This window comes from Homo sapiens, chromosome 9, assembly GCF_000001405.40.
Source record: "Homo sapiens chromosome 9, GRCh38.p14 Primary Assembly".
NCBI classification, from domain to species: Eukaryota; Metazoa; Chordata; class Mammalia; order Primates; family Hominidae; genus Homo; species Homo sapiens.
The window spans coordinates 125,188,967-125,212,686 of NC_000009.12; the positions used below are offsets into that span (position 1 = coordinate 125,188,967).

Below are 23,720 nucleotides of genomic sequence, written 5' to 3' on the forward strand. Positions count from 1 at the left end.
AGGAGAAAGTATTTGTATTTATTGAGAACCAACTACTTTATCCACTTCAGTAAGCTCAACAACATACTCAGAAACGGGATTCACCTCTGAATTAGCAAAACCGACGATCCTAAAAAGCAATTTGGAGGAGTGGCAATGAAGAGGGACGACCTGACGTTCGCTCCCGCCAGTACCAAACCACTCGGGCCCACCGCCTTCCCCTTCCTCAGAGACCTAAACACACTGAGGCCGCGTTCCGGTAGCCGGTGGCATCTCCTGTCAGACGCCGGCCACTCCGCGCTCCTGTCACCTCCGGTGGAGGCGACCCCATCCCGAGGGCACTGCCGCGGGGGCTCGGCTCCGACTGCGGGAGACCCAGGGATGGGGTGGGGAGCCGAGCCTTCTAAATAAAGCTGTTACAGCTGCGGGTCCTGGGGCAGCCCGAAGGCCAGAAGGGGCGACCCTGGGACAGAGGCCGCGACATCCCTCGGGATCCCCACTGAGGCAACCGGGACAGCATTCGACGACTCGGCTCGCGAGACCCTCGGCGTGACGCCGGGTAGGACCGGGTCGACTGGCAATGGGGGAGGCCCTCCACCGCGACTGGACTGGATACCCGGCGGGGGTCCTGGAGAAAGGAAGGGCCGGCCGGCGGGCGCCCCACAGCCGGAAGGGGCGAGCCCGCAAATAGGGCTCACCTTCAGGTCGTTCTCTGGCAGGTACTTGCACAGCCGCGCTATTTCCACATACTTGTCCAGGTCTAGCGGCGCCATTTTAAGAATAACAAGCCGCGGCAACAGCGGCGGCGGCGGCTGTAGCAGCGGCGGCGGCAGCGGCGGAGGCCGAAGCCGGAACTTTCCCTGCGTCACGTCCGGCCCGTGAGTGGCGCCTGCGCAGCGCCGTTAAAGCGCGACCCGTTTCTCCCCGCTACGTCGGTACGCCCGGCGCCCCCTCTGGCTGAACCCCGACTGCAGGCCCCAAGAGAGCCCGCTTCGGTCCACCCCGCGAAACCTGCTGGGACCCGTAGTCGTCTGCCGCGGGGGTGCTGGGATGTGTAGTTTTCTGTTGTGGACAGCCACCCCTCTCTTTTCCTCCCGTTCCTCCAGACTTTCACCTCCCGGCAGCCGGCGAGGCTTTTCCGAGGCAAAACAGCGGAGTAGGTGGTCCTAGCCACTCACTGGTTTGTTTTTCCAACCCTTTTAAGCACTCTCCAGAATATCTTCACTTAACAATTGGGTAAGCCTGGCCGTAGTAACCGTTTGCACCTTTCCAAGTCCCTGTGAAAACCTCGCCTAAGCCTGTGGCAGAGATGTCAGGCCCCAGTCTTCCAGCCTGAAAGGAAGGGAAACGAATATTATTAAAGCATTTCTGATGCTAAATGCGATACAAATGATATTTTTCCTTTTAATCTTCGTAACGATTGATAGGAAAGTGAGGCTAGGAAACTGCAGTTCACCCCAAATCTCACAGGGAACAAAATGGTGGGGTCAAGATTGAAAAATGGCTTAAGCTTAAGCATGCTTCCAGTGAGAATCCCACGAGGGCAGGGAGTTTTTTGCTGTAACTCCAGCACCGAGAACAGTACCTGGTACTAGCATACCTTCAGCGTTCGTTTATCCAACCACTCTTTGCTGAGCAACAAAGATGTGCCAGGTACAGCTCAAGGCGCTTGCAGTACTTCGTGAACAAAATAGACAAAGATCTCTATTCTATCTGTAGCTACAAAAAGTACCAAAATTAGCCTGGCGCGGTAGTGCGTGCTTGTGGTCCCAGCTACTCTGGAGGCTGAGGCAGGAGAACCGCTTGAGTTGGGAGGCGGAGGTTGCAGTGAGCTGAGATCGCGGCACTGCACTCCAGCTTGGGCGACAGAGCGAGATCCTCCTCAAAAATAAATTAGTAAAAGGAGCTGCTGTATGGGACTAGGGGTGGGGGTGCAATGCCTATAGCTAAGAGACCAGTTAAGAGACTGTTATGTAATCCAATAGTAGCAGGCGCTCAATAAATATTTGTTGCTCAAGAGACCCTGGAATTAATCCTCTTGCTCTCTAAAGTATATTTTGTGGACAATTGGCTAACCCTGAATGAGATATCTGGGTGAACTTCTTTGTATTATTCTTGTAACTCCTCTGAAAGTATGAAATTGTTTCAAAGTAAAATTAATTTTTAGAAGTTTGTTGCAGAATGAATGATGCCCACAAGCATTCATTTCTTCATTCATTAAACTAATAGTTACATAGTGCCTATTGGCCAGGCCGCGGTGGCTAATGCCTGTAATCTCAGCACTTTGGGAGGCCAAGGCAGGCAGATCACCTGACGTCAGGAGTTCAAGACCAGCCTGGCCAACATGCCGAAACCCCATCTCTACTAAAAATACAAAATACTGGGGAGGCTGAGGCAGGAGGATCACTTGAATTGCTTGAGGCAGAGGTTGCAGTGAGCTGAGATGGCGCCACTGTACTCCAGCCTGGGCCACAGAGTGAAACTCCATCTCAAAGAGAAAAGAAACCAGAGGTTACACAGTGCTTATGATGTGAATAAAACAGATATGATCCCTGCCCTAATCAGGCTTACAATCTGCTGGGAAGAGACAAACAGTATTTATTTATTTATTTACATTTACTGGTTTATTATTAATATAAAGGATATTACAAAGGATACAAATGAAGAGATGCATAGGGTGAGGTAATTAAAATTTTTGTTTTTGTTGAGGCCGGGTGCAGTGGCTCAAACTTGTAATCCCAGTAGTGAAGCCAAGGTGAGCAGATATCTTGAGGCTAGGAATTCAAGACCATCCTGGCCAACATGGTGAAACCTGATCTCTACTAAAAATACAAAAATTAGCTGGGCATTGTAGCACATGCCTGTAATCCCAGCTACTCCGGAGTCTGAGGCATGAAAATTGCTTTGAGGTGGGGGTTACAGGGAGCTGAGGTCGTGCCACTGCACTCCAGCCTGGCCAACAGAAAAAAAAAAAAAATTGTTGAGGTGAGGTCTTGCTGAGGCTGGTTTTAAATTCCTGGCCTCAAGCTATTCCGCTGCTTTGGCCTCCCAAAGTGCTGGGATTATACGTGTAAGCCACCATACCTGGCAGTGAGCAAATATTTAATTGCAAATTGTGATTAGTACTCAAAAGGGAAAATAGGAGGTACTATAAGCAAGAAAAATGGAGTAGACGAGGTCTACCTTTGGCTGGGCACAGTGGCTCACGCCTGTAATCCCAGCATTTTGGGAGACCGAGGCGGGCAGGTCTTTTTGAGGTCAGGAGTTCCTGACCAGCTGAGATCCCACCACTGCACTCTAGCCTGGGAGAGAAAGTGAGACCCTGTCTAAAAAAAAAAAAAAAACAAAAAACTACATTTTCTTACCTGTACTTGTGTCCTTTGGGGGAAAAAAAAGGGCCCAGCATGGTGGCACACGCCTGTAATCCCAGCACTTTGGGAGGCCGAGGCGGACGGATCATGAGGTCAGGAGTTTGAGACCAGCCTGGTCAATATAGTGAAACCCTGTCTCTACTAAAAATACAAAAAATTAGCCGGGTATGGTGGTGTGTGCCTGTAATCTCAGCTACTTGGGAGGCTGAGGCAGGAGAATTGCGTGAACCTGGGAGATGGAGGTTGCGGTTGCAGTGAGCTGAGATAGCGTCATTGCACTCCAGCCCGGGTGACAATGCAAGGCTCCGTCTTAAAAAAAAGAAAAAGAAAAAAAGAAAGAAAGAAAAAGAAAAACTTAGCCTGGTGTGGTGGCACGTGCCTGTGATCCCAGCTACTCAGGAGACTGAAGCAGGAGAATCACTTGAACCTGGGAGGCAGAGGTTGCAGTGAGCCGAGATCGCACCACTGCACTCCAGCCTGGACAACAGAGCGAGACTCCGTCTCAAAAAAAAGAGGCCTACTTTAGGTTGATAACACAGAGGAGGTAAAGTACAGGATGTAGCTTCTAGCACCATGTGGGCAGAGTTCAAATACAGGCTCTACCACTTATTGTGTGATTTTGGTTTGGAGAAGTTATTTATCCTTTCTGTACTCCAGTTTTCTCAGCTCCAATATGGAGATAATAATAATGCTTACCTCCTCTGGAGATTGTAAGAATACTACTTACCTCATAGGCTTGTACAAAGGTTTAACAGAGTTGGTATATGAAAATGGCTTAAAACAATGTCTGGGCCGGGCACAGTGGCTCATACTTGTGATTCCAACACTTTGAGAGGCCAAGGCAGGAGGATCACTTGAGCCAAGGAGTTCAAGACCAGACTGGGCAACATAGTGAGACCTCATCTCTACCAAAAAAAAAAAAAAATTAAAATTAGCCAGGTTTGGTGCTGGCACATACCTGTAGACCCAGCTACTCTAAAGACTGATGTGGGAGGATCACTTGAGCCCAGGAGGCCAAGGCTGCAGTGAGCTGTGATTGTGTCACTGTACTACATCAGGGTGACAGTGAGACTCTGTCTCAAAACAAAAAACAAAGACAAAAAAACATTGTCTAGCACAGAGTGAGTGCAATATGAGTGTTAACTCTGAGTATTAGGTGGGCAGGAAAGGCATTTCTGAAGGTGTAACATGTAAGACTTCAGAAAAAAAAATGTAGGAGGCTGGGCATGGTGGCTCACGCCTGTAATCACAGCACTTTGGGAGGCCCAGGCGGGCAGATCACTTGAGGTCAGGAGTTCAAGACAGGCCTGGTCAACATGGTGAAACCCCGTCTCTACTAAAAATACAAAAATTAGCCAGGCATGGTGGTGCATGCCTGTAATCCCACCTACTGGGAAGGCTGAGGCAGGAGAATCGCTTGAACCCGGGAGGCAGAGGTTGCATTGAGCCGACATTGCGCCACTGCACTCCAGACTGGGTGACAAAGCGAGACTCCATCAAAAAGAAAGAAAGAGAGAAAGAGAGAGAGGGAGGGGAGGGGAGGAAAAAAAGGCAGGACAGGTGCAATGACTCATGCCTGTAATCCCAGCACTTTGGGAGGCTGAGGTGGGCAGATTGCTTGGGCCCAGGAGTTCGAGACCAGCCTGGGAAACATGGCAAAACCCCATCTCTACAAAAAATATAAAAATTAGCCGGGCATGCTGGCATGTGCCTGTAGTCCCAGCTACTCAAGAGGCTGAGGCGGGAGGATTGCTTGAGCCCCAGAGGCGGAGGTTGCAGTGAGCCAAAGTTGTGCCACTGCACTCCAGCCTAGGCAACAGAGTGAGACCCTGTCTCAAAAAAAAAAAAGGAAAAAAAGGTAAAGGGATAATCTGCTCAGAATTTCTTGGAGAAAAAAATTCAAATGGAAGAAGATGCTGTTCTTGTTTAGATATTTTTCTTTTTTTTTTTTTTTAGAAACTGATGTTTATGGCCAGGCACGGTGGCCATAAACACACACACCTGTAATCCCAACACTTTGGGAGGCCAAGGCGGGCGGATGACGAGGTCAGGAGATCGAGACCAACCTGGCCAATGTGACGAAACACCGTCTATACTAAAAATACAAAAATTAGCCTGCCTGTAATCCCAGCTACTCAGGAGGCTGAGGCAGGAGAATTGCTTGAAACAGGGAGTCAGAGGTTTCAGTGAGCCGAGATTGCGCCACTGCCCTCCAGCCTGGCGAAAGAGCGAGACTGTCTCAAACAAAAAAAAAAAAAAAGAAACTGATGCCTATTTTCCATCAACCTTATTTCCAAGTTGCTTAAGAGTCCCTGCAAGAACAATTTAAAACCATTCAGTGGTCTGAACAGTGGGAGCTGCAGACCAGTCTTCCGTGGCAGGCTGAGTGCTCCAGTCTTCAGTAGGGAACTGCTGAATAGGCACAGAGGATACCTGCACCCTTCAGACCAGTCTGCAACCTCAGGCTGAGTAACAGTGAACTCAGGAGCTGGAGCAGTCCATTCACCCTGAAATTCCTCCTTTGTCACAGCCTTTTCAGTAGCAGCTTGCTCTTCTTTTTCAATCTCTTCAGGATCTCTGTAGAAGTAGAGATTAGGCAGGCCGGGCGCAGTATCTCACGCCTGTAATCCCAGCACTTTGGGAGGCCAAGGCGGGCAGATCATGAGGTCAGGAGATTGAGACCATCCTGGCTAACACGGTGAAACCCCGTCTCTACTAAAAATACAAAAAAATTAGCCGGGCATGGTGGCAGGCGCCTGTAGTCCCAGCTACCTGGGAGGCTGAGGCAGGAGAATGGTGTGGACCCAGGAGGCAGAGGTTGCAGTGAGCCGAGATTGCGCCACTGCACTCCAGCCTGGGCGACAGAGCGAGACTGCGTCTCAAATAAAAAAAAAAAAAGAAGTAGAGATCAGGCATGAGCTCCCACAGGTGTTCACAGGAAATGGTGCCACCTTTGTGCAGAACTTCCTGAGCCAGCATCCACCACATCAAACCCACTGAGTGAGCTCCCTTGTTGTTGCATGGGATGGCAATGTCCACATACTGCAGAGGAGAATCTGTATTACACAGAGCAATGGTAGGTAGGTTAACATAAGATGCCTCTGTTTGAGGCTGGTGGTCAGCCCTGGGGTCAGTAACCACAAAAAGCTGTGGCTCCCGGAAGGAGCCTGGATCTGGTTAGTGAAGGTTCCAGGAGTGAAGTGGCCAGCAACTGGAGTGGCTCTGGTGGCAGCAGCAAACTTCAGCACAACCCTCTGGCCAGTATTCCTAGGGGATATAACACTGGCATCAGCAGGGTTTTCAATGGCAACAATGGCATGAGCTGCCAGCAGAAGCTTCTCCCAGGTCCTCTTCAGATTTATGATGTAGATGCCATCACTTTTCCTTTTATAGATGTACTGTTCCATCTAGAAGTCAAGATTGGTGCCACTAAGTGGGTTCCTACTGCAAGGAACTTAAGGACATCCTCCTCCTTCATTTGCAGGACAGCAAGGGCTCTGGACATTGTGAAAGTTTCCCTTTAAGTTATGATGGGAATCCATAACAACCCCATATGGACCCCTCTGTGGGTAGCATAGAAAACTGGCTGTTTTTCTTTCTTTCTTTCTTTCTTTTTTTTTTTTTTTTTTTTGAGACAGGCTGTCGCCTTTTTTTTTTTTTCTGTCACCTAGGCTGGAGTGCAGTGGCACAATCTCGGCTCACTGCAACCTCTGCCTCCTAGGCTCAAGCAGTCCTCCCACCTCAGCCTTCCAAGTAGCTGGGATTACAGGCATGCATCTCCACACCTGGGTAATTTTTGTATTTTTAGTAGAGACGGGGTTTCACCATGTTGGTCAGTCTGGTCTCAAACTCCTGACCTCAGTTGATTGGCCCACCTCGGCCTCCCAAAGTGTTGGGATTACAGGCATGAGCCACTGCGCCCAGCCACAATTCACTCTTAATCTCTGAACCTCAGTAATTGGGAATAAATCCTATTCAAGATACCTTCTCAGAAGTGGGAAGGAAGACAAATAGGGAGATGGATGTGAATGTTCTTCATAAACTGTAAAGTGCTTAAAAGGAAGGTCTCACCGGCATTCATTACTTCCCTTGCTGATGCATCAGTAAAGAGGTCAGTGGTGTGCTGTTCCAGTGAAAATAGGTGGCAGTCCTCACATGACCACACTATCTGACAGGAGGAAGCTCCCTCCTGCAGACCCACCTCATTGAGTGAACATCATTCTTCACATCCACAGCAGAGAGAAAAGAAGAAAGCGTGCGTCAGAGTGTTGGGCAAGCTTTTAGGAGAGGTGTTAGACACTTCCAGTGGTTTGGTATGGAGATGGGGTAACAGAGCTTGATGACTGGAATGCATTCTTAGTCTTCCTTGCAAGAAATAAGAGATCTGGGTTCCTGGGTTCCTGGTTCTGCCATTTTATGTGGGGTAGTTATTTTAACTTCTCTGGGCCTTGATTTCCATTTTTAAAAATACATCTCTTGCCAGGCACAGTGGCTCACACCTGTAATCCCAGCACTTTTGGAGGCAGAGGTGGGTGAATCATTTGAGGTCAGGAATTCAAGACCAACCTGGCCAACATGGTGAAACCCTGTCTCTACGAAAAATACAAAAATTAGCCAGGCATGGTGGTGCGCACCTGTAGTCCCAGGTACTCAGGAGGCTGAGGCAAGAGAATTGCTTGAACCTGGGAGGCGGAGGTTGCAGTAACCTGAGATCATGACACTGCACTCCAGGCTGGGCGACAGAACAAGATTCCATCTCAAAATAAGTAAATAAATAAAAATAGAAATAGAAAATACATCTCAGGCAGCCTGGCGCAGTGGCTCACGCCTGTAATCCCAGAACTTTGGGAGACCGAGGTGGGTGGATCACGAGGTCAGGAGTTCAAGACCAGCCTGGCCAAGATGGTGAAACCCCGTCTCTACTAAAAATGCAAAAAAAAAATTAGCTGGGTGTGGTGGCGGGTACCTGTAATCCCAGCTACTTGGGAGGATGATGCAGAGAATTGCTTGAACCCGGGAGGCGGATGTTGCAGTGAGCCGAGATCATGCCACTGCACTCCCCCAGCTTGGGCGACAGAGCAAGACTGTCTCAAAAAAAAAAAAAGAAAATAGATCTCAGGCATTCCACATTCTCAAATGTGATTTCTAGTCTAAAAGCATAGGTTCAGCAGGCACGGTGGCTCATGCCTGTAATGCCAGCACTTTGGGTGGCCAAGGCAGGTGGATCATCTGAGGCTAGGAGTTCAAGACCAGCCTGGCCAACATGGTGAAATGCCGTCTCTACTAAAAGTACAAAAATTAACCATACGTGGTGGCCACGCCTATAATCCCAGCTACTTGGGAGGCTGAGGCAGGACAATTGCTTGAACCCAGGAGGCGGAGGTTGCAGTGAACTGAGGGCGCCACTGCATTCCATCCTGGGCGACAAATCGAGACTCCGTCTGTAAATAAATAAATAAATAGGTCCCGCAGTGAAAACTGGCTGCTATTTTGCCCACAAACCTCTTCCAATTTTTCTTGTTGATGTGCCACTCCAGCATGGCACCTTGAAACAGAGCTAGCCAGAAAACACCGGGGACATCAGAGCATTCTGCAGCTGTGAGCAGAAATGTACGTGGAGATGCACATGGACATATGGCAGAGCTAACCTGGACTTGGTTTTCTTTCCTGAAGGAGAGCAGAATGACTGAATATCCCTAAACTTCTCTTTGGCAGACAGTCAATGGGGATTTTTCCACTAAAGTGGGAACTCACAAAGACTCCATATGTTTGAAAGAGCCGCAGACCTTGAATTCCATTTTGTCAATAAATTTTGGTTATGGTTTCAAGTAGCTAAAATATTCCTTTCACCAACCTGGCCTTTCACCTGTATTAGCACATCCTCTGAACAGTTCTGTCTGCACAGCAGGTAATACTATCATCATTCTATAGATGAGGAACTAGGGTTCAGAGTGGGTAACTTGCCAAATGTCAGAGTTAGATGGTTAGTGCTGGACCCTGGATTTTTTTTTTTTGACAGAGTCTTGCTCTGTTGCCCCGGCTGGAGTGCAGTGGCACGATCTCGGCTCACTGCAACCTCCACCTCCTGGGTTCAAGTGATTCTTCTGCCTCAGCCTCCTGAGTAGCTGGGATTACAGGCAAACGCCTGGCTGATTTTTTTTTAGACAGAGTCTTGCTCTGTTGCCCAAGCTGGAGTGCAGTGGCATGATCTTGGCTCACCACAACCTCTGCCTCCCGATTCAAGCAATTCTCCTGCCTCAGCCTCCCGAGTAGCTGGGACTATAGGTGCGCATCACCGTGCCTGGCTAATTTTTGTATTTTTAGTAGAGATGGGGTTTCACTATGTTGGCCAGGCTGGTCTTGAACTCCTGACCTCGTGATCTGCCCTCCTTGGCCTCCCATAGTGCTGGGATTACAGGCATGAGCCACCACACCCAGCCTGGAGCTTGGATTTTAACCCAAGTATGTTTGATCTCTTCCCACTAAGCTACCATAGCTCTATACTCCAGGAGCTCCTGTTTCTAACCTGAGCTGTTTTCTCTATTTTCTAGGACACAGCGACAGTTTCAGAGACTGGAGTTCTTTGAAACAGACATAAGAGAGCAAGCCACCTCTCTATTTTCAGGAAAGACACAGAGAACCTATGGTTATGAACTAAAACAAAGATAATGTAGATTCTGAATATGTCTAGAGACATTGTTCATTTATAGTCAGGAATAGCTTTACCCTTGACAGAGAACTCTGTGCCAGCTGCTGGGTGCTGAGCACTTTTATTTACATTATGTCATGTATTCCCCACCACAACTACTACATACATCTCTCTTTTTTTTTTTTTTTTCTTGAGACGGAGTCTGGCTCTGTCACCCAGGCTGGAGTGCAGTGGCACTATCTCGGCTCACTGCAACCTCCGCCTCCCAGATTCAAGCAATTTTCCTGCCTCAGCCTCCTGAGTAGCAGGGATTACAGGCGCCCACCACCACGCCTAGCTAATTTTTGTGTTTTTAGTTGGGGGGGGGGGCGGGGGCGTTCACCATGTAGGCCAGGCTGGTCTCGAACTCCTGACCTCGTGATCCGCCCGCCTCGGCCTCCCAAAGTGCTGGACTTATAGGCGTGAGCCACCGCGCCCAGCCTATGATAGAAATCTTATTAGCTCCATGGTTACAAACAGACAACCCTGAGGCCTGGAGGAAAGTAACTTCAGAACAGATACTCTCCTGGCTGAACTTTATATTTATTGCACTCTTGGCAGTCGTCCCTAGTTGTCTTTTTCTTTGATCTCTCTCTAGTTAAGACTTGCTCCTGGAGGCAAAGCGTGGTGGTGTCTGGCTCAGCATAGCACCTGCCATAATTACAAATGGCAATTATGGAATGAATCAGCTGTTTAAAGCACCAAATCTTGAGCTGGCCCGAAGACTGCGCAGGAGGATTGCATGCTCAACTCTCCCCTTTAGAAACTGTTAACAATCGTTGTGGCCGGGCGCGGTGGCTCACGCCTGTAATCCCAGCACTTTGGGAGGCCGAGGCGGGTGGATCATGAGGTCAGGAGATCGAGACCATCCTGGCTAACAAGGTGAAACCCCGTCTCTACTAAAAATACAAAAAAAATTAGCCGGGCGCGGTGGCGGGCGCCTGTAGTCCCAGCTACTCGGGAGGCTGAGGCAGGAGAATGGCGTGAACCCGGGAAGCGGAGCTTGCAGTGAGCCGAGATTGCGCCACTGCAGTCCGCAGTCCCGCCTGGGCGACAGAGCGAGACTCCGTCTCAAAAAAAAAAAAAAAAAACAATCGTTGTAACTGGAAATGTAACTGTTATACCCTCCCCCCCTTTTATTTATTTATTTTTTTGAGAGGGAGTTTTTGCGCTGTTGCCCAAGCTGGAGTGTGGTGGCGCCCAGCCCTGTTAGCCCCTTACAGAGTAGATCAGCTGCCGCAGGCATCTGAGTTCCCCAAACGGACGCCCGAACCCGGCATTGCGCAAATCGTTTCCAAGTAGCCCCGGCTTATTTATCCCGTCCGGGAGGGAGGGACCCAGGGAAGGCCCACCCCACTTGGTTCCCGAGAAATGCAGAGCCTGGCGTCCACTCCCGGTCTGGGGGACCCCTCCACCGCCAGCCCAGGAAGTCAGCGCCGGGCCCTCGGGGCGGAGCAGGGAAGAGGGAGCGGTTGGCCCGGACGCTCTTCCGGGTCCTGGGAGGAGGGCCCGGACCTAAGCCCCGCCCCTCCGGGGTGGAGTCACGGCTCGCGACTGGCCTAAGTCGCCGCAGGTATTGCAGTCCGGGGCTGGAGGGTAGGGGCGAGGGTCCCCGGATACCGGGTCTATCACGGTCTCGGGCAGGGAGTCTGAATCTTTTAGGGGAGTGGGCCCAAGCCGGGTGCAAAGAACGGGGAAGGGCCTTCCCTGGCTCCGTCCCGGCCACTTTGACCGAATCAGCCTGTTCTTTCCCGACCCCGTCTCCTATCCCCTAGAACTGCCACGTGGGGATGAGATTTGCTGGGCTGGTAGCGGCGGCTGCTGCGGGAGGTCCCGCCCACGTGAAGCCAGCCTAACTGAGCTCTGGACTTTGGGGACAGCTGTCAGTGGCCTAGGCCGCAGGTGAGATTTATCCATTCATCTCTCAATCTATTTTCTTTCTTCATTCACTAGCCACTCCCCCACTTCTACTCCATGCCAGGTCCATTGGTAGGTTCTCGGAATGGATCTGACAGGCCCAGCCCTCTAGGAACTTAGTCTAGTGGAATTTAATCTAGAATCTAGTCTAGAAGCCTTAAATAGATAAACATTCCAAATGATTCCTGCAATGGTGATGGCTAATACCTTCAGAGCCCAGTGGGTGGAAGAAGGAAGTAACTTGGATGTGGGTGGAAGAGAAAAGGGCAAATCAGGGAAGGTTTCACCAGGGAAGGGACTTTTGAACTGGGCTTTGAAGGTTAACTAGGAGTTTGCAAATTTCCCAGAAGGGAAGCGACATTCCAAATAGGGGAAGCAGAACAGGCTGCAAAATTATGAAAAGGCCTGCCATATTACAAGAACAGCAAAAAAACCAATAATGCAAGAGATTGTGGAGGTGAGTTCACGGGAAAAAAGCTCAACAGCAGAAGGCCTTACTTTCTATGCTATGTTGAGGCCAAGATTTATCCCAGAGCTCAGTATTTCTCAGCTTCTTTAAATATTTTGTCCTTTGAGCGGAGAGCAGTGGCTCACACCTGTAATCCCAGCTTTTTAGGAGGCTGAGGTGGAAGAATTGCCTGAGGCTAGGAGTTCGAGACCAGCCTGGACAACAAAGCGAAACCTCCATTTCTATTTTTTTTTCTTTTTTTGAGGAGGAGTCTTGCTCTGTCGCCAGGCTGGAGTGCAAGTGGCGCAATTTCGGCTCACTGCAACCTCCGCCTCTTGGGTTCAAGCAATTCTCACGCCTCAGCCTCCTGAGTAGCTGGGACTACAGGCGTGGGCCACAACGCCCAGCTAATTTTTTTTGTATTTTTAGTAAAGACAGGGTTTCACCATGTTGGCCAGGATGGTATCGATCTGACCTCATGATCCGCCTGCCTCGGCCTCCCAAAGTGCTGGGATTACAGGCGTGAGCCACTGCTCCCAGCCCCGTTTCTATTTTTAATTAAAAAATAAATAAATGGCCGGGCTCAGTGGCTCACGCCTGTAATCCCAGCACTTTGGGAGGCCGAGGCGAGCCAAGTTCAAGACCAGCCTGGCGAACATAGTGAAACCCCATCCCTACGAAAAATACAAAAAAAATTAGCCAGGTGTGGTGGCACTTGCCTGTAGTCCCAGCTTACTCTGGAGGCTGAGGCAGGAGAATAGCTTGAACCCGGGAGGCAGAGGTTGCAGTGAGCTGAGATCCTGCCACTGCACTCCAGCCTGGGTGACAGAGTGAGACTCCATCTCAGAAAAAATAAAAATAAAAAATAAAGCCAGGCACGGTGGCTCATGCCTGTAATCCCAGCACTTTGGGAGGCTGAGGCGGGCAAATCACCTGAGGTCAGGAGTTAGTGACCAGCCTGGCCAGTGTGGTAAAACCCCGTCTCTACTAGAAAAGCTAGAAAAATGAGCTGGGCGTGGGTGGGCACCTGTAATCTCAGCTACTCAGGAGGCTGAGAAAGGAGAATCATTTAAACCTGGGAGGGGAAGGTTGCAGTGAGTGGAGATTGCACCACTGCACTCCAACCTGTGCAACAGAGTGAGACTCTATCTAAAAATAATAATAAAGATAAATACATAGGCCAGGCACGGTGGCTCACACCTGTAATCCCAGCACTTTGGGAGGCTGAGGCGGGTGGATCAGCTGAGGTCAGGAGTTCGAGACCAGCCTGACCAACATGGTGAAACTCCATCTCTACTAAAAATAGAAAAATTAGCTGGGCGTAGTGGCACATGCCTGTAATCCAAGCTACTCGGGAGGCTGAGGGAGGAGAATCGTTTGAACCTGGGAGGCAGAGGTTGCCATGAGCTGAGATCTTGCCATTGCACTCCAGCCTGGGCAACGAGAGCTAAACTCCATCTCAAATAAATAAATAAATAAATAAATAATAAAAATAAAGATGAAAAGTTGGTGATTCTTATTCAAATCAATCAGGCCTAGAAATTAGTACATTCAACAGGAAAGGTTTAAAAAGGAGGTTGAATTGATTAAGATGATAATCATAAGTGTCTAAAAAGTGCCTTTCTTTCTTATGCATAGGACACCATGAAGCAACTGCCAGTCTTGGAACCTGGAGACAAGCCCAGGAAAGCAACATGGTCTGTAAGGAAGGATCCAGACACAGAAAAGCATGAGTTTTTGTTTCATTTATAAGTAGTTTATTTACATATTTGATCATCAACAAAAAGGGGTAGAGATGAAACTGTCTGCAGTTTCTGGTAATTAGACTCAAACTGTCTGAGAAAGTCTTCAGAGGAAAGATAGGGGGGCAGTAATTATCACAGAGCAGATGTTAATTTTATTAAAATCCATTTACCAGAAAGAGTAAGGCACTGACCATCTGGCATCCTCAGCTCCAATGCTGTGTCTTCCCCCGAGCTCTGACTCATTTTTAAGATTTTTAGGAAATTAGATTTGGATTAAACTGGCTTCACTGTTTCTTGGCTGTTTGTTCAAACAACCCTTTATTCAACAACTAACATTGGCCTGATGGGGGCAGCTGCTCTGTGGGTGCTGGAGGTAGAATTGTAAATAGTCTCTGTGTACTGGGGACTACAGACTAAGCAGGTGATGGTGATAAAATGTGATCTGCTCTGAGTCAGGGCCCACAGAAGGTTGTAGAGAGGTGGCAGTTCTTCAACAGGACCTTGAAGGAGAGACTCCAGACTGGCTTCCATGCATCTGTCTTGCTCTGTACCCAGAATACAGCCAATCATGGCATTTCCTAGTTTAAAACCCTTTTGTGCCTCCCTGTTGGTGTTGGGATAAAAATCAGACTCCTGGGCTGGGCACGGTGGCTCATGCCTGTAATCCCAGCACTTTGGGAGGCCAAGGCGGGTGGATCTCCTGAGGTCAGGAGTTTGAGACCAGCCTGACCAATATGGTGAAACCCCATCTCTACTAAAAATACAAAAATTAGCTGGCATGGTGTTGTGCAACTGTAGTCCCAGCTACTAGGGAGGCTAAGACAGGAGAATTGCTTGAATCTGGGAGGCAGAGGTTGCAGTGAGCTGAGATCATGCCACTGTACTCCAGCATGGGCCACAGAGCAAGAATCCGTTTCAAAAAAAAAAAAAAAAAAAAAGGCCGGGCACGGTGGCTCATGCCTGTAATCCCAGCACTTTGGGAGGCCGAGGTGGGCGGATCACGAGGTCAGGAGATCGAGACCACTCTGGCTAACATGGTGAAACCCTGTCTCTACTAAAAATACAAAAAATTAGCCGGGCGTGGTGGCGGGCATCTGTAGTCCCAGCTACTCTGGAGGCTGAGGCACTCCAGCCTGGGCGACAGAGCGAGACTCCATCTCAAAAAAAAAGAAAAATCAGACTCCTGACCGGGCGCAATAGCTCATGCCTATAATCCTAGCACTTTGGGAGGCTGAGGTGGGTGGATCACTTGAAGCCAGGAGTTTGAGACCAGTCTGGCCAACATGGCAAAACCCCGTCTCTACTAAAAATACAAAAATTAACCGGGAGTGGTGGTGCATGCCTGTAATCCTGGCCACTCGGGAGGCTGAGGCAGGACAATTCTTGAACCTGGGAGGTGGAGGTTGCAGCAAGCCGAGATGGTGCCACTGCACTCCAGCCTGGGCGCAACAGAGGGAGACTCCGTCTCAAACAAACAAACAAACAAATTAGACTTCTTAAACTGGCCCAATGGTCCCTGCAAAATGTTTCTGCCTGTATTTCCAACCTCAAATCCCATGACTTGTTCCTTTGTTCTCTTTCTCTTCTTTATTGTGCCCTTTGCACTGTTCCACTCAGGAGCTGTTCATGCTGGTCTCTTTGCCTGGACTGCTCTTTCTGCCTGGAGTGCTCTTTCCCTCCACTTTTTGTCCCTCTCTTTTCCCAGCTTATTTTATTTTATTTTTGAGACAAGTTCTTCCTCTGTGGCTGGCCACCCAGGCTGGAATGCGGTGGTACAATTGTGGCTCATTATAGCCTCGACCTCCTGGCCTCAAGTAACCTTCCCATCTCCATCTCCCAAGTAACTGGGACTGTTGGTGTGTACTACCATGCCCAGCTAATTTTTTTTTTTAGAGACCCAGTCTCGCTATGTTGCCCAGGCTGGTCTCAAACTCCTGGGCTCAGGCGATCCTCCCACTCTAGCCTCCCAAAGTGCTGAGATTACAGGTGTGAGCCACCACACCTGGCCTACCCAGCTAATTTCTACTCATACTTCAGATCTCTCTCCAAATGGTGCTTCTTCAGGAAGCCTTCTCTGACCACCCTATCTCCCTGGCTCCTTACAGGGTGAGACCCTCCTAAGACATGCATGTCCTCATACTATATATTCTGTACTCCTTTCTACCACAATTGAAGTGAAACAGATAGTTGTGAAACTGTTGAATGTTTCTTTTCCCAACTAGTCTGTAAGGGCTATCAAGGCAGGGACTTTTTTTTGTTATATCCACCATCTCTGGATGGCTGTGTGCTTTTGGTAAATTACTTAACCTTTCTTAGCTTCAGTTCCTCCGTTGTAGAACTCAGATGATGGTAACAGCTGTTATCCTCAAAGCGTTTTTTTAGTTTTTGTTTGTCTTTGAAACGGAGTCTCACTCTGTTGGCAGGTTGGAGTGCAGTGGCACAATCTCGGCTCACTGCAACTTCCGCCTCCCGGGTTCAAGCGATCCTGCCTCAGCCTCCCAAGTAGCTGGGACTATAGGTGCATGCCACCACACCCAGGTAATTTTTGTATTTTTAGTAGAGACGGGGTTTCATCATGTTGCCCAGGATGGTCTCAATCTCTTGACCTCATGATCTGCCTGCCTCGGCCTCCCAATGTGCTGGGATTACAGGCGTGAGCCACTGCGCCCGGCCCTCAAAGGGGTTTTATGTAGATTAAGTGACATCAGAATAGAGCTCTGAATGGGAAACAAATTTGGCAACCACTGATGAATATATAGATGAGTGATAATTGAAGTTATCACTACAGATAACATTAATCAGGTAAGCAAATGTAAAGTGAGGAAAAGAGAATTGAGAATGACGGAGAGTCAGGAGGTGGCTGGTAGGAAAGGAGTCGGAGAAGGAAGCAGAAAGGACAACCAGAAAAGTGAGTGCAGAACCAAAGGAAGGGATGTGGGAAAGCCTGGCTGGGAGAAAGGCACAAGAAGCGAGGAGAGGTCAGGAGTCTCAAACACCAGAGAGGTCAAATAAGACAGGGCCTGAAAAACAGCTACAGAATTTTCTTTTCCAATCAGGAAGCTTCAAGTGTGTTTTCTCAGTCAGCATTCAGAATCACTGTGGAGAGTGGAATGGGCTGGGCGTGGTGGGCGCGTCCCTAGCACTTAGGGAGACCAGGGCAGAAGGATTGCTTGAGGCTGGGAGTTCAAGGCTGGCCAACATAGTGAAACCCCATCTCTACTAAAAATACAAAAATTAGCCAGGCATGGTGGTGCGCGCCTGTAGTCCCAGCTACTCGGGAGGCTGAGGCAGGAGAATCACTTGAAGCCTGGAAGTGGAGGTTATGGTGAGCCAAGATTGCACCACTGCACTCCAGCCTGGGCAACAGAGCGAGACTCCGTCTCAAAAAAAAAAAAGAGAGAGAGAGATAGTGGAATGACCGAATTCTGTATGTGATTTTTCAGAGTGCTAGCTTTGGCTTCCATCAGATTGAGCTTTGGGGGTAATCTGGAAAAGCTCTGAAATCAGTAAATTCTGGATAATTTTTTTGATGGAGAGGAATCACTGGCTAGTGGCAAGAGCCCCAGGGCTGTTGATTACCATGTGGTGGCACATAAAGCTCTCGCCACCATTTATTGAGTCCTTCCCTGCCCTGTTTTGACGTCTTGTCTCAGTCTTCACAATCATCTTTTGCAGTAAGAACTGTTGCTGTCCAGCCAGGCACGGTGGCTCACGCCTGTAATCCCAGCAATTTGGGAAGCCGAGGCGGGCGGATCACCTGAGGTCGGGAGTTCGAGACCAGCCTGACCAACATGGAGAAATCCCATCTCTACTAAAAATATAAAATTAGCCAGGTGTGGTGGCACATGCCTGTAATCCCAGCTGCTAGGGAGGCTGAGGCAGGAGAATCGCTTGAACCCGGGAGGCGGAGGTTGTAGTGAGCCGAGATCACGCCATTGCACTCCAGCCTGGGCAACAAGAGCAAAACTCCATCTTAAAAAAAAAAAAAAAAGAACCATTGCTGTCCTCATTTCACAAATGAGTAAACTAAAGTTCAGAAAGGTTAAGTGACTTCCAAAAGGTCACACATCTAGGAAGTACCTGAGCTCGAATTTGAACCAGATCTGTCTGAATTCATACACCATGCTCACAGCCACCATCCTGTGCCAAGACCCATCACTGAACATTTCTGGAGGTCAGTTTCCCTATCTACCAAATGGGGAAAAATAAGCCCAGTGCATTCCTACCAGATTACTGTGAGATGAAGACAGTGACAAAATTGAAAAGCCAAAGACTGTGTGCAAAGGGGAGGTACTATTATTAATCAGAGAAGTGCTGCTTTATTGGGTACAATTTAAAGTGTCTGCATAAGGCTCTTCATTCTGGTGAATATTTCATGAGGAATGGAAAGAGCACACTACTGCATTTATTCTCTGCTCAGGCCTCCTGAATACATCCTTCCTTTGGCAGGTACACCTTGACTGTCCCTGGAGACAGCCCCTGTGCTCGAGTTGGCCACAGCTGTTCATATTTACCCCCAGTTGGTAATGCCAAGAGAGGGAAGGTCTTCATTGTTGGGGGAGCAAATCCAAACAGAAGCTTCTCAGACGTGCACACCATGGATCTGGGTAAGATCAGCAGCTGCAGAGTACATGCCCTATGGCCAGAGAACAGGGCTGTGTGCTGCTAGCCATGAGCAGGGCATTCCTAAAAACACCAGCAGGGTTTTCCTATAAGAAAACATGGCCAGGACCAGGTGTGGTGGCTCACGCCTCTAATCCCAGCACTTTGGGAGGCCAAGGCAGGTGGATCACCTGAGGTTAGAGTTCGAGACCAGCCTGACCAATATGATGAAACCCTGTCTCTACTAAAAATACAAAAAAATTAGCCGGGTGTGGTAGTGGGCACCTGTAGTCCCAGCTACTCGGGAGGCTGAGACAGGAGAATTACTTTGAACTGGGGAGATGGAAGTTAAAGTAAGCCAGGATCATGCCACTGTACTCCGGCCTGGGTGACAGAGCAAGACTCTGTCTCAAAAAAAAAGAAAAAAGAAAAAGTCAGCATCACTGACAGATCCCTCAGGTTTCTTAGTAGGCCCCTGGCACACATTCATCTGACCAGTACCTCCTTGTTTAGCGGGAGAGAACCCTTATGGAGCCCTGGTTGTCCAGCCATTTATTCATCAAATATTTCTGTAGGATACATTGATGACTACCACCACTCATTCTATTCACATATCCAATATATCACTAAGCCCTACATATCTCTTTTCTTTGTTTTTTGTTTTTGTTTTTTTGAGATGGAGTTTCGCTCTTATTGCCCAGGCTGGAGTGCAATGGCGCGATCTTCACTCATTGCAACCTCTGCCTCCCAGGTTCAAGAGATTCTCCTGCCTCAGCCTCCCCAAGTACTTGGGATTACAGGCATGTGCCACCATGCCCAGCTAATTTTTTTTTTTTTTAGACGGAGTCCCACTCTGTTGCCAAGGCTGGAGTGCAGTGGCACGACCTCAGCTGACCGCAACCTGTGCCTTCCAGGTTCAAGCGATTCTCCTGCCTCAGCCTCCTGAGAAGCTGGGATTACAGGCGCCCACCACTACACCCAGCTAATCTTTTGTATTTTTAGTAGAGACTGAGTTTCACCATGTTGGCCAGGATGGTCTCGAACTCCAGACCTCATGATTCACCCTTCTTGGCCTCCCAAAGTGCTGGGATTACAGGTATGAGCCACCACGCCCAGCCTACATATCTCTTATCTTTATCCATGTCTGTCCATTTCCACTACTACTACTGTAGTCCAAGCCACTGTTATCTCTCAACTAGACTTACAAGAGCCTCCTCACCAGCCTCCCTGCTTCCAAGTTTACCCCCTATACAGTGCATTTTCTCTACCTAGCCAGCGAATATCATCTAAAATACAAATCTAACCATGTCACTCCCTATTTCAGACTTTTCTCAACCTCCCTTTTTTTTTTTTTTTTTTGAGACCAAGTCTTGCTCTGTTGCCCAGGCTGGAGTGCAGTGGTGCTGCAAACTCGGCTTACTGCAACCTCTGCCTCCTGGGTTCAAGCAATTCTCCTGCCTCAGCCTCCTAAATAGCTGGGATTACAGGTGTGCGCCACCATGCCCTGCTAATTTTTGTATTTTTAGTAGAGATGGGGTTTCACGATGTTGATCAGGCTGGTCTTCAAATCCTGACCTGGTGATCCTCCCGCCTCATCCTCCCAAAGTGCTGGGATTATGCATGTGAGTCACCACACCAGCCTTTTTTTTTTGAGGCAGCGTGTCGCTCTGTCACCCAGGCTGGAGTGCAGTGGCACAATCTTGGCTCACTGCAACCTCTGCCTACTGGGTTCAAGCGATTCTCCTGCCTCAGCCTCCTGAATAGCTGGGATTACAGGCGCGTGCCACCAGCCTGGCTAATTTTTGTATTTTTAGTAGAGATGGGGGTTTCACCATGTTGGCCAGGCTGGTCTCAAACTTCTGACCTCAAGTGATCTGCTTGCATCAGTCTCCCAAAGTGCTGGGATTACAGGCGTGAGCCACCGAGCCCGGCCCCAACCTCATTTCTTGGCTCTCTCCAACCCACATTTGCTGCACTGGATATCCTTCAGTTCCTTGAACACAGCTTGAGCTCTCTGGCCTCCATGCCTTTGCACACACAGATCCCTCTGCTAGGAATGTTTTTCCCTTTTCTTATCATCTGGCTTCTCTATATCTTTCAGATTTCAGATTAAATGTCACTTCTACCAGGAACCTTTCCTGTTACCTCTGGACTCGTTCAGGCACTACATGACTCTGTATGTCCGTAGTCTCATGTGCTCTTCCATCCTGTCTGCCTTCACAGCCCTATCACATGTGATTGTTTCTTGTCCGTCTGCCCCACAAGAACATAAGCTCCTCAGAAACAGATAGCATATTTTCCTCATCATTGTATCCCAGACACTACCACAGGGCTTAGTACAGAGTGGGTGCTCTATAAGTATTTAAATGAATGAATGAATGAACCTGCTAATAAGAAACAATTGGATCTGGGCGCAGTGGCTCACGCCTCTAATCCCAGCACTTTGGGAGGCTGAGGCGGGCGGATCGCTAGGTCAAGAGATCGAGACCATCCTGGCTAACACGGTGAAACCCTGTCTCTACTAAAAATACAAAAAATTAGCCAGGCGTGGTGGCGGGCACCTATAGTCCCAGCTACTCGGGGAGGCTGAGGCAGGAGAATGGCGTGAATCCGGGAGGCGGAGCTTGCAGTGAGTGGAGATCGTGCCACTGCACTCCAGCCTGGGTGACAGAGCAAGTCTCCGTCTCAAAAAAAAAAAAAAAAAAAAAGGAAATGATTATTAGCTGGGCGTGGTGACTCACGCCTGTAATCCCAGCACTTTGGGAGGCCGAGGCAGGCAAATCACAAGGTCAGGAGATCGAGACCATCCTGGCCAACATGGTGAAACCCTGTCTCTACTAAAAATACAAAAAAATTAGCTGGGCATGATGGCTTGTGCCCGTAGTCCCAGCTGAGGCAGGAGAATTGCTTGCATCTGGGAGGCAGAGGTTGCAGTGAGCCAAGATTATGCCACTGCACTCCAGTCTGGCAACAGAGCAAGACTCCGTCTCAAAAAAAAAAAAAAAAGAAAATAAAAGAAACGATTATTCTTTGCTCTACACAAGGGCAGAAGTTGAACAATGGTGACCCACTTACGTATTTTGTTAGGTCCATGTAACATTTCCCTATTGTTTTAATCTTAAGTTTTGTTTTTTTTTTTGAAATGGAGTCTCAAACTGTCACCCAGGCTGGAGTGCAGAGGCACGATCTTGGCTCACTGCAACCTCTGCCTCCTGGGTTAAAGTGATTCTCCTGGGCCGGGCATGGTGGCTCACCATGCTGTAATCCCAGCACTTTGGGAGGCCGAGGTGGGCGGATCACGAGGTCAGGAGATTGAGACCATCCTGGCTAACACGGTGAAAACCCATCTCTACTAAAAATAAAAAAAAAAATTAGCCAGGCGTGGTGGCGGGCGCCTGTAGTCCCAGCTACTCGGGAGGCTGAGGCAGGAGAATGGCATGAACCCGGGAGGCAGAGCTTGCAGTGAGCCGAGATCGCGCCACTGCACTCCAGCCTGGGTGATAGGGCGAGACGCCATCTCAAAAAAAAAAGAAAGTGATTCTCCTGCCTCATACTCCCAAGTAGCTGGAACTACAGGCACGTGCCACCATGCCCCGCTAATTTTTGTATTTTTAGTAGAGATGGGTTTTCACCATGTTGGCCAGGAGGGTCTTGAACTCCTAACCTCAAGTGATCCACCCACCTCGGCCTCCCCAAGTGCTGGGATTACATGCGTGAGCCACCACGCCCAGCATAATCTTAAATTGTTTACCAACCAATTATGCAGAAATCTACATATAAAAATTTAAATGGTTTGGCTTCTCTTGATAATGTTGGAAAATCTAATGTCAGTAGGCCTCCCTGTCTACATGGCAACAATTATTTGGAACTGAGCTGCCACCTATCAAGAGGGCTCTTATTCTCCAGTTTGCCACAGTTTTTGTTACTCCCACCTAGGCATTTGAATTTCTACTCCCTGCACTAAAAAAATCAAAGGTAGGCTGGACGAGGTGTAATCCCCCAGCACCTTGGGAGGCCAAGGCGGGTGGGTCACTTGAGGTCAGGAGTTTGAGGCCAGCCCGGCCAATATGGTGAAACCCCCATCTCTACTAAAAATACAAAAATTAGCCAGGCATAGTAGCTCACACTTTTAATCCCAGCTACTTGGGAGGCTGAGGCAGGAGAATTGCTTGAACCTGGGAGGCAGAGGTTGCAGTGAGCCGAGATCGCGCCAGTGCGCTCCAGCCTGGGCAACAGAGCAAGACTCCATCTCAAAAAAAAAAAAAATTCAAAGGTAAATTAAATCACTTCTAGCCCTCAATTACATTAAATTAGTTCAACTTACATCTTTATTGCAACCTATTAATAGCTTTGTGACCCTGGCTACACCATCTCAACCATCTGGACCTCAGTGCTCTATAAAGTAGGGATAATAACTTGCTTCAGATCTAACAAGATAATGCCTGTAAAGGTCTTGTGTAATTGGTTAACCAAGTAAAATAATTGTTAATAATAAAGGTTAGGGTTTTTTGTTTGTTTGTTTGTTTTTTGAGACGGAGTCTTACTGTGTCACCCAGGCTGGAGCGCAATCTCAGCTCACTGCAAGCTCCACCTCCCGGGTTAATGCCATTCTCCTGCCTCAGCCTCCCAAGCAGCTGGGACTACAGGCGCCTGCCATCGCGCCCAGCTAATTTTTTGTATTTTTAGTAGAGACAGGGTTTCACCATGTTAGCCAGGATGGTCTTGATCTCCTGACCTCATGATCCGCCCACCTCGGCCTCCCAAAGTGCTGGGATTACAGGCATGAGCCACAGCGCCTGACCAAGGTTAGGTATTACTATTCTGTGAACTTGTCTTAGCCAGCCATCATTTATTTGCAAGTAACAGAATCTCACTTAAACCAGAGGAAAAAGGGGGAATTTATTTAGTCAGATACAGGCGTGTTTCTTTCTTTCTTTCTTTTTTTTTTTTTTGAGACAGAGTGTTGCTGT

General features: G+C 48.7%; 2 protein-coding genes, 1 long non-coding RNA gene and 1 pseudogene across 14 annotated transcripts in view, besides 4 other annotated features; 1 reads left to right on the top strand and 3 right to left on the bottom strand.

Annotated features, from left to right (window-relative positions):
* The window catches only part of PPP6C (protein phosphatase 6 catalytic subunit), a 43,231-nt gene extending 42,394 nt beyond the window's left edge, over positions 1 to 837 (bottom strand). For 2 of the 4 annotated variants that reach the window (NM_001123369.2, NM_002721.5), the window contains exon 1: positions 678 to 837. In NM_001123369.2, the coding sequence (NP_001116841.1) occupies positions 678 to 752 (75 nt within the window). In that variant the 5' untranslated portion in view covers positions 753 to 837. Of the gene's footprint in view, positions 1 to 595 lie in introns of all 4 variants that reach the window. The other 2 variants (XM_047423566.1, NM_001123355.2) reach the window with 1 other exon arrangement.
* Positions 159 to 945: an enhancer, noted in NCBI's record as "H3K27ac hESC enhancer chr9:127951404-127952190 (GRCh37/hg19 assembly coordinates)". NCBI's record gives its function as "activates a minimal SCP1, AML or CMV promoter by ChIP-STARR-seq in primed H9 embryonic stem cells {active_cell/tissue: H9 hESC(primed)}" and the evidence as "EXISTENCE:reporter gene assay evidence [ECO:0000049][PMID:30033119]".
* Positions 946 to 1,732: an enhancer, noted in NCBI's record as "H3K27ac hESC enhancer chr9:127952191-127952977 (GRCh37/hg19 assembly coordinates)". NCBI's record gives its function as "activates a minimal SCP1, AML or CMV promoter by ChIP-STARR-seq in naive H9 embryonic stem cells {active_cell/tissue: H9 hESC(naive)}" and the evidence as "EXISTENCE:reporter gene assay evidence [ECO:0000049][PMID:30033119]".
* Positions 1,035 to 1,114: an enhancer, noted in NCBI's record as "active region_28999". NCBI's record gives its function as "activates an Ori minimal core promoter by ATAC-STARR-seq in GM12878 lymphoblastoid cells {active_cell/tissue: GM12878}" and the evidence as "EXISTENCE:reporter gene assay evidence [ECO:0000049][PMID:35858748]".
* Positions 5,631 to 6,927, bottom strand: RPSAP76 (ribosomal protein SA pseudogene 76; annotated as a pseudogene).
* A 3,639-nt stretch (positions 6,928 to 10,566) lies between these two features.
* LOC105376271 (uncharacterized) lies at positions 10,567 to 11,430 on the bottom strand. Its single transcript, NR_135145.1, has 2 exons — positions 11,260 to 11,430; positions 10,567 to 10,689 (listed from the first exon to the last, which is right to left on the bottom strand). It is a non-coding gene; the product is annotated as an uncharacterized LOC105376271 (long non-coding RNA).
* Positions 11,454 to 11,503: a silencer, noted in NCBI's record as "silent region_20275". NCBI's record gives its function as "represses an Ori minimal core promoter by ATAC-STARR-seq in GM12878 lymphoblastoid cells {active_cell/tissue: GM12878}" and the evidence as "EXISTENCE:reporter gene assay evidence [ECO:0000049][PMID:35858748]".
* The window catches only part of RABEPK (Rab9 effector protein with kelch motifs), a 33,620-nt gene continuing 21,475 nt past the window's right edge, over positions 11,576 to 23,720 (top strand). For 2 of the 9 annotated variants that reach the window (NM_001174152.2, NM_001174153.2), the window contains exons 1-4: positions 11,576 to 11,611; positions 11,814 to 11,940; positions 14,042 to 14,100; positions 18,598 to 18,755. In NM_001174152.2, coding sequence (NP_001167623.1) covers positions 14,048 to 14,100; positions 18,598 to 18,755 — 211 coding nt within the window. In that variant the 5' untranslated portion in view covers positions 11,576 to 11,611; positions 11,814 to 11,940; positions 14,042 to 14,047. Of the gene's footprint in view, positions 11,941 to 12,159; positions 12,413 to 14,041; positions 14,101 to 18,142; positions 18,323 to 18,597; positions 18,756 to 23,720 lie in introns of those variants that run through there. The other 7 variants (XM_005251642.5, XM_005251641.5, XM_017014177.2 and 4 more) reach the window with 6 other exon arrangements.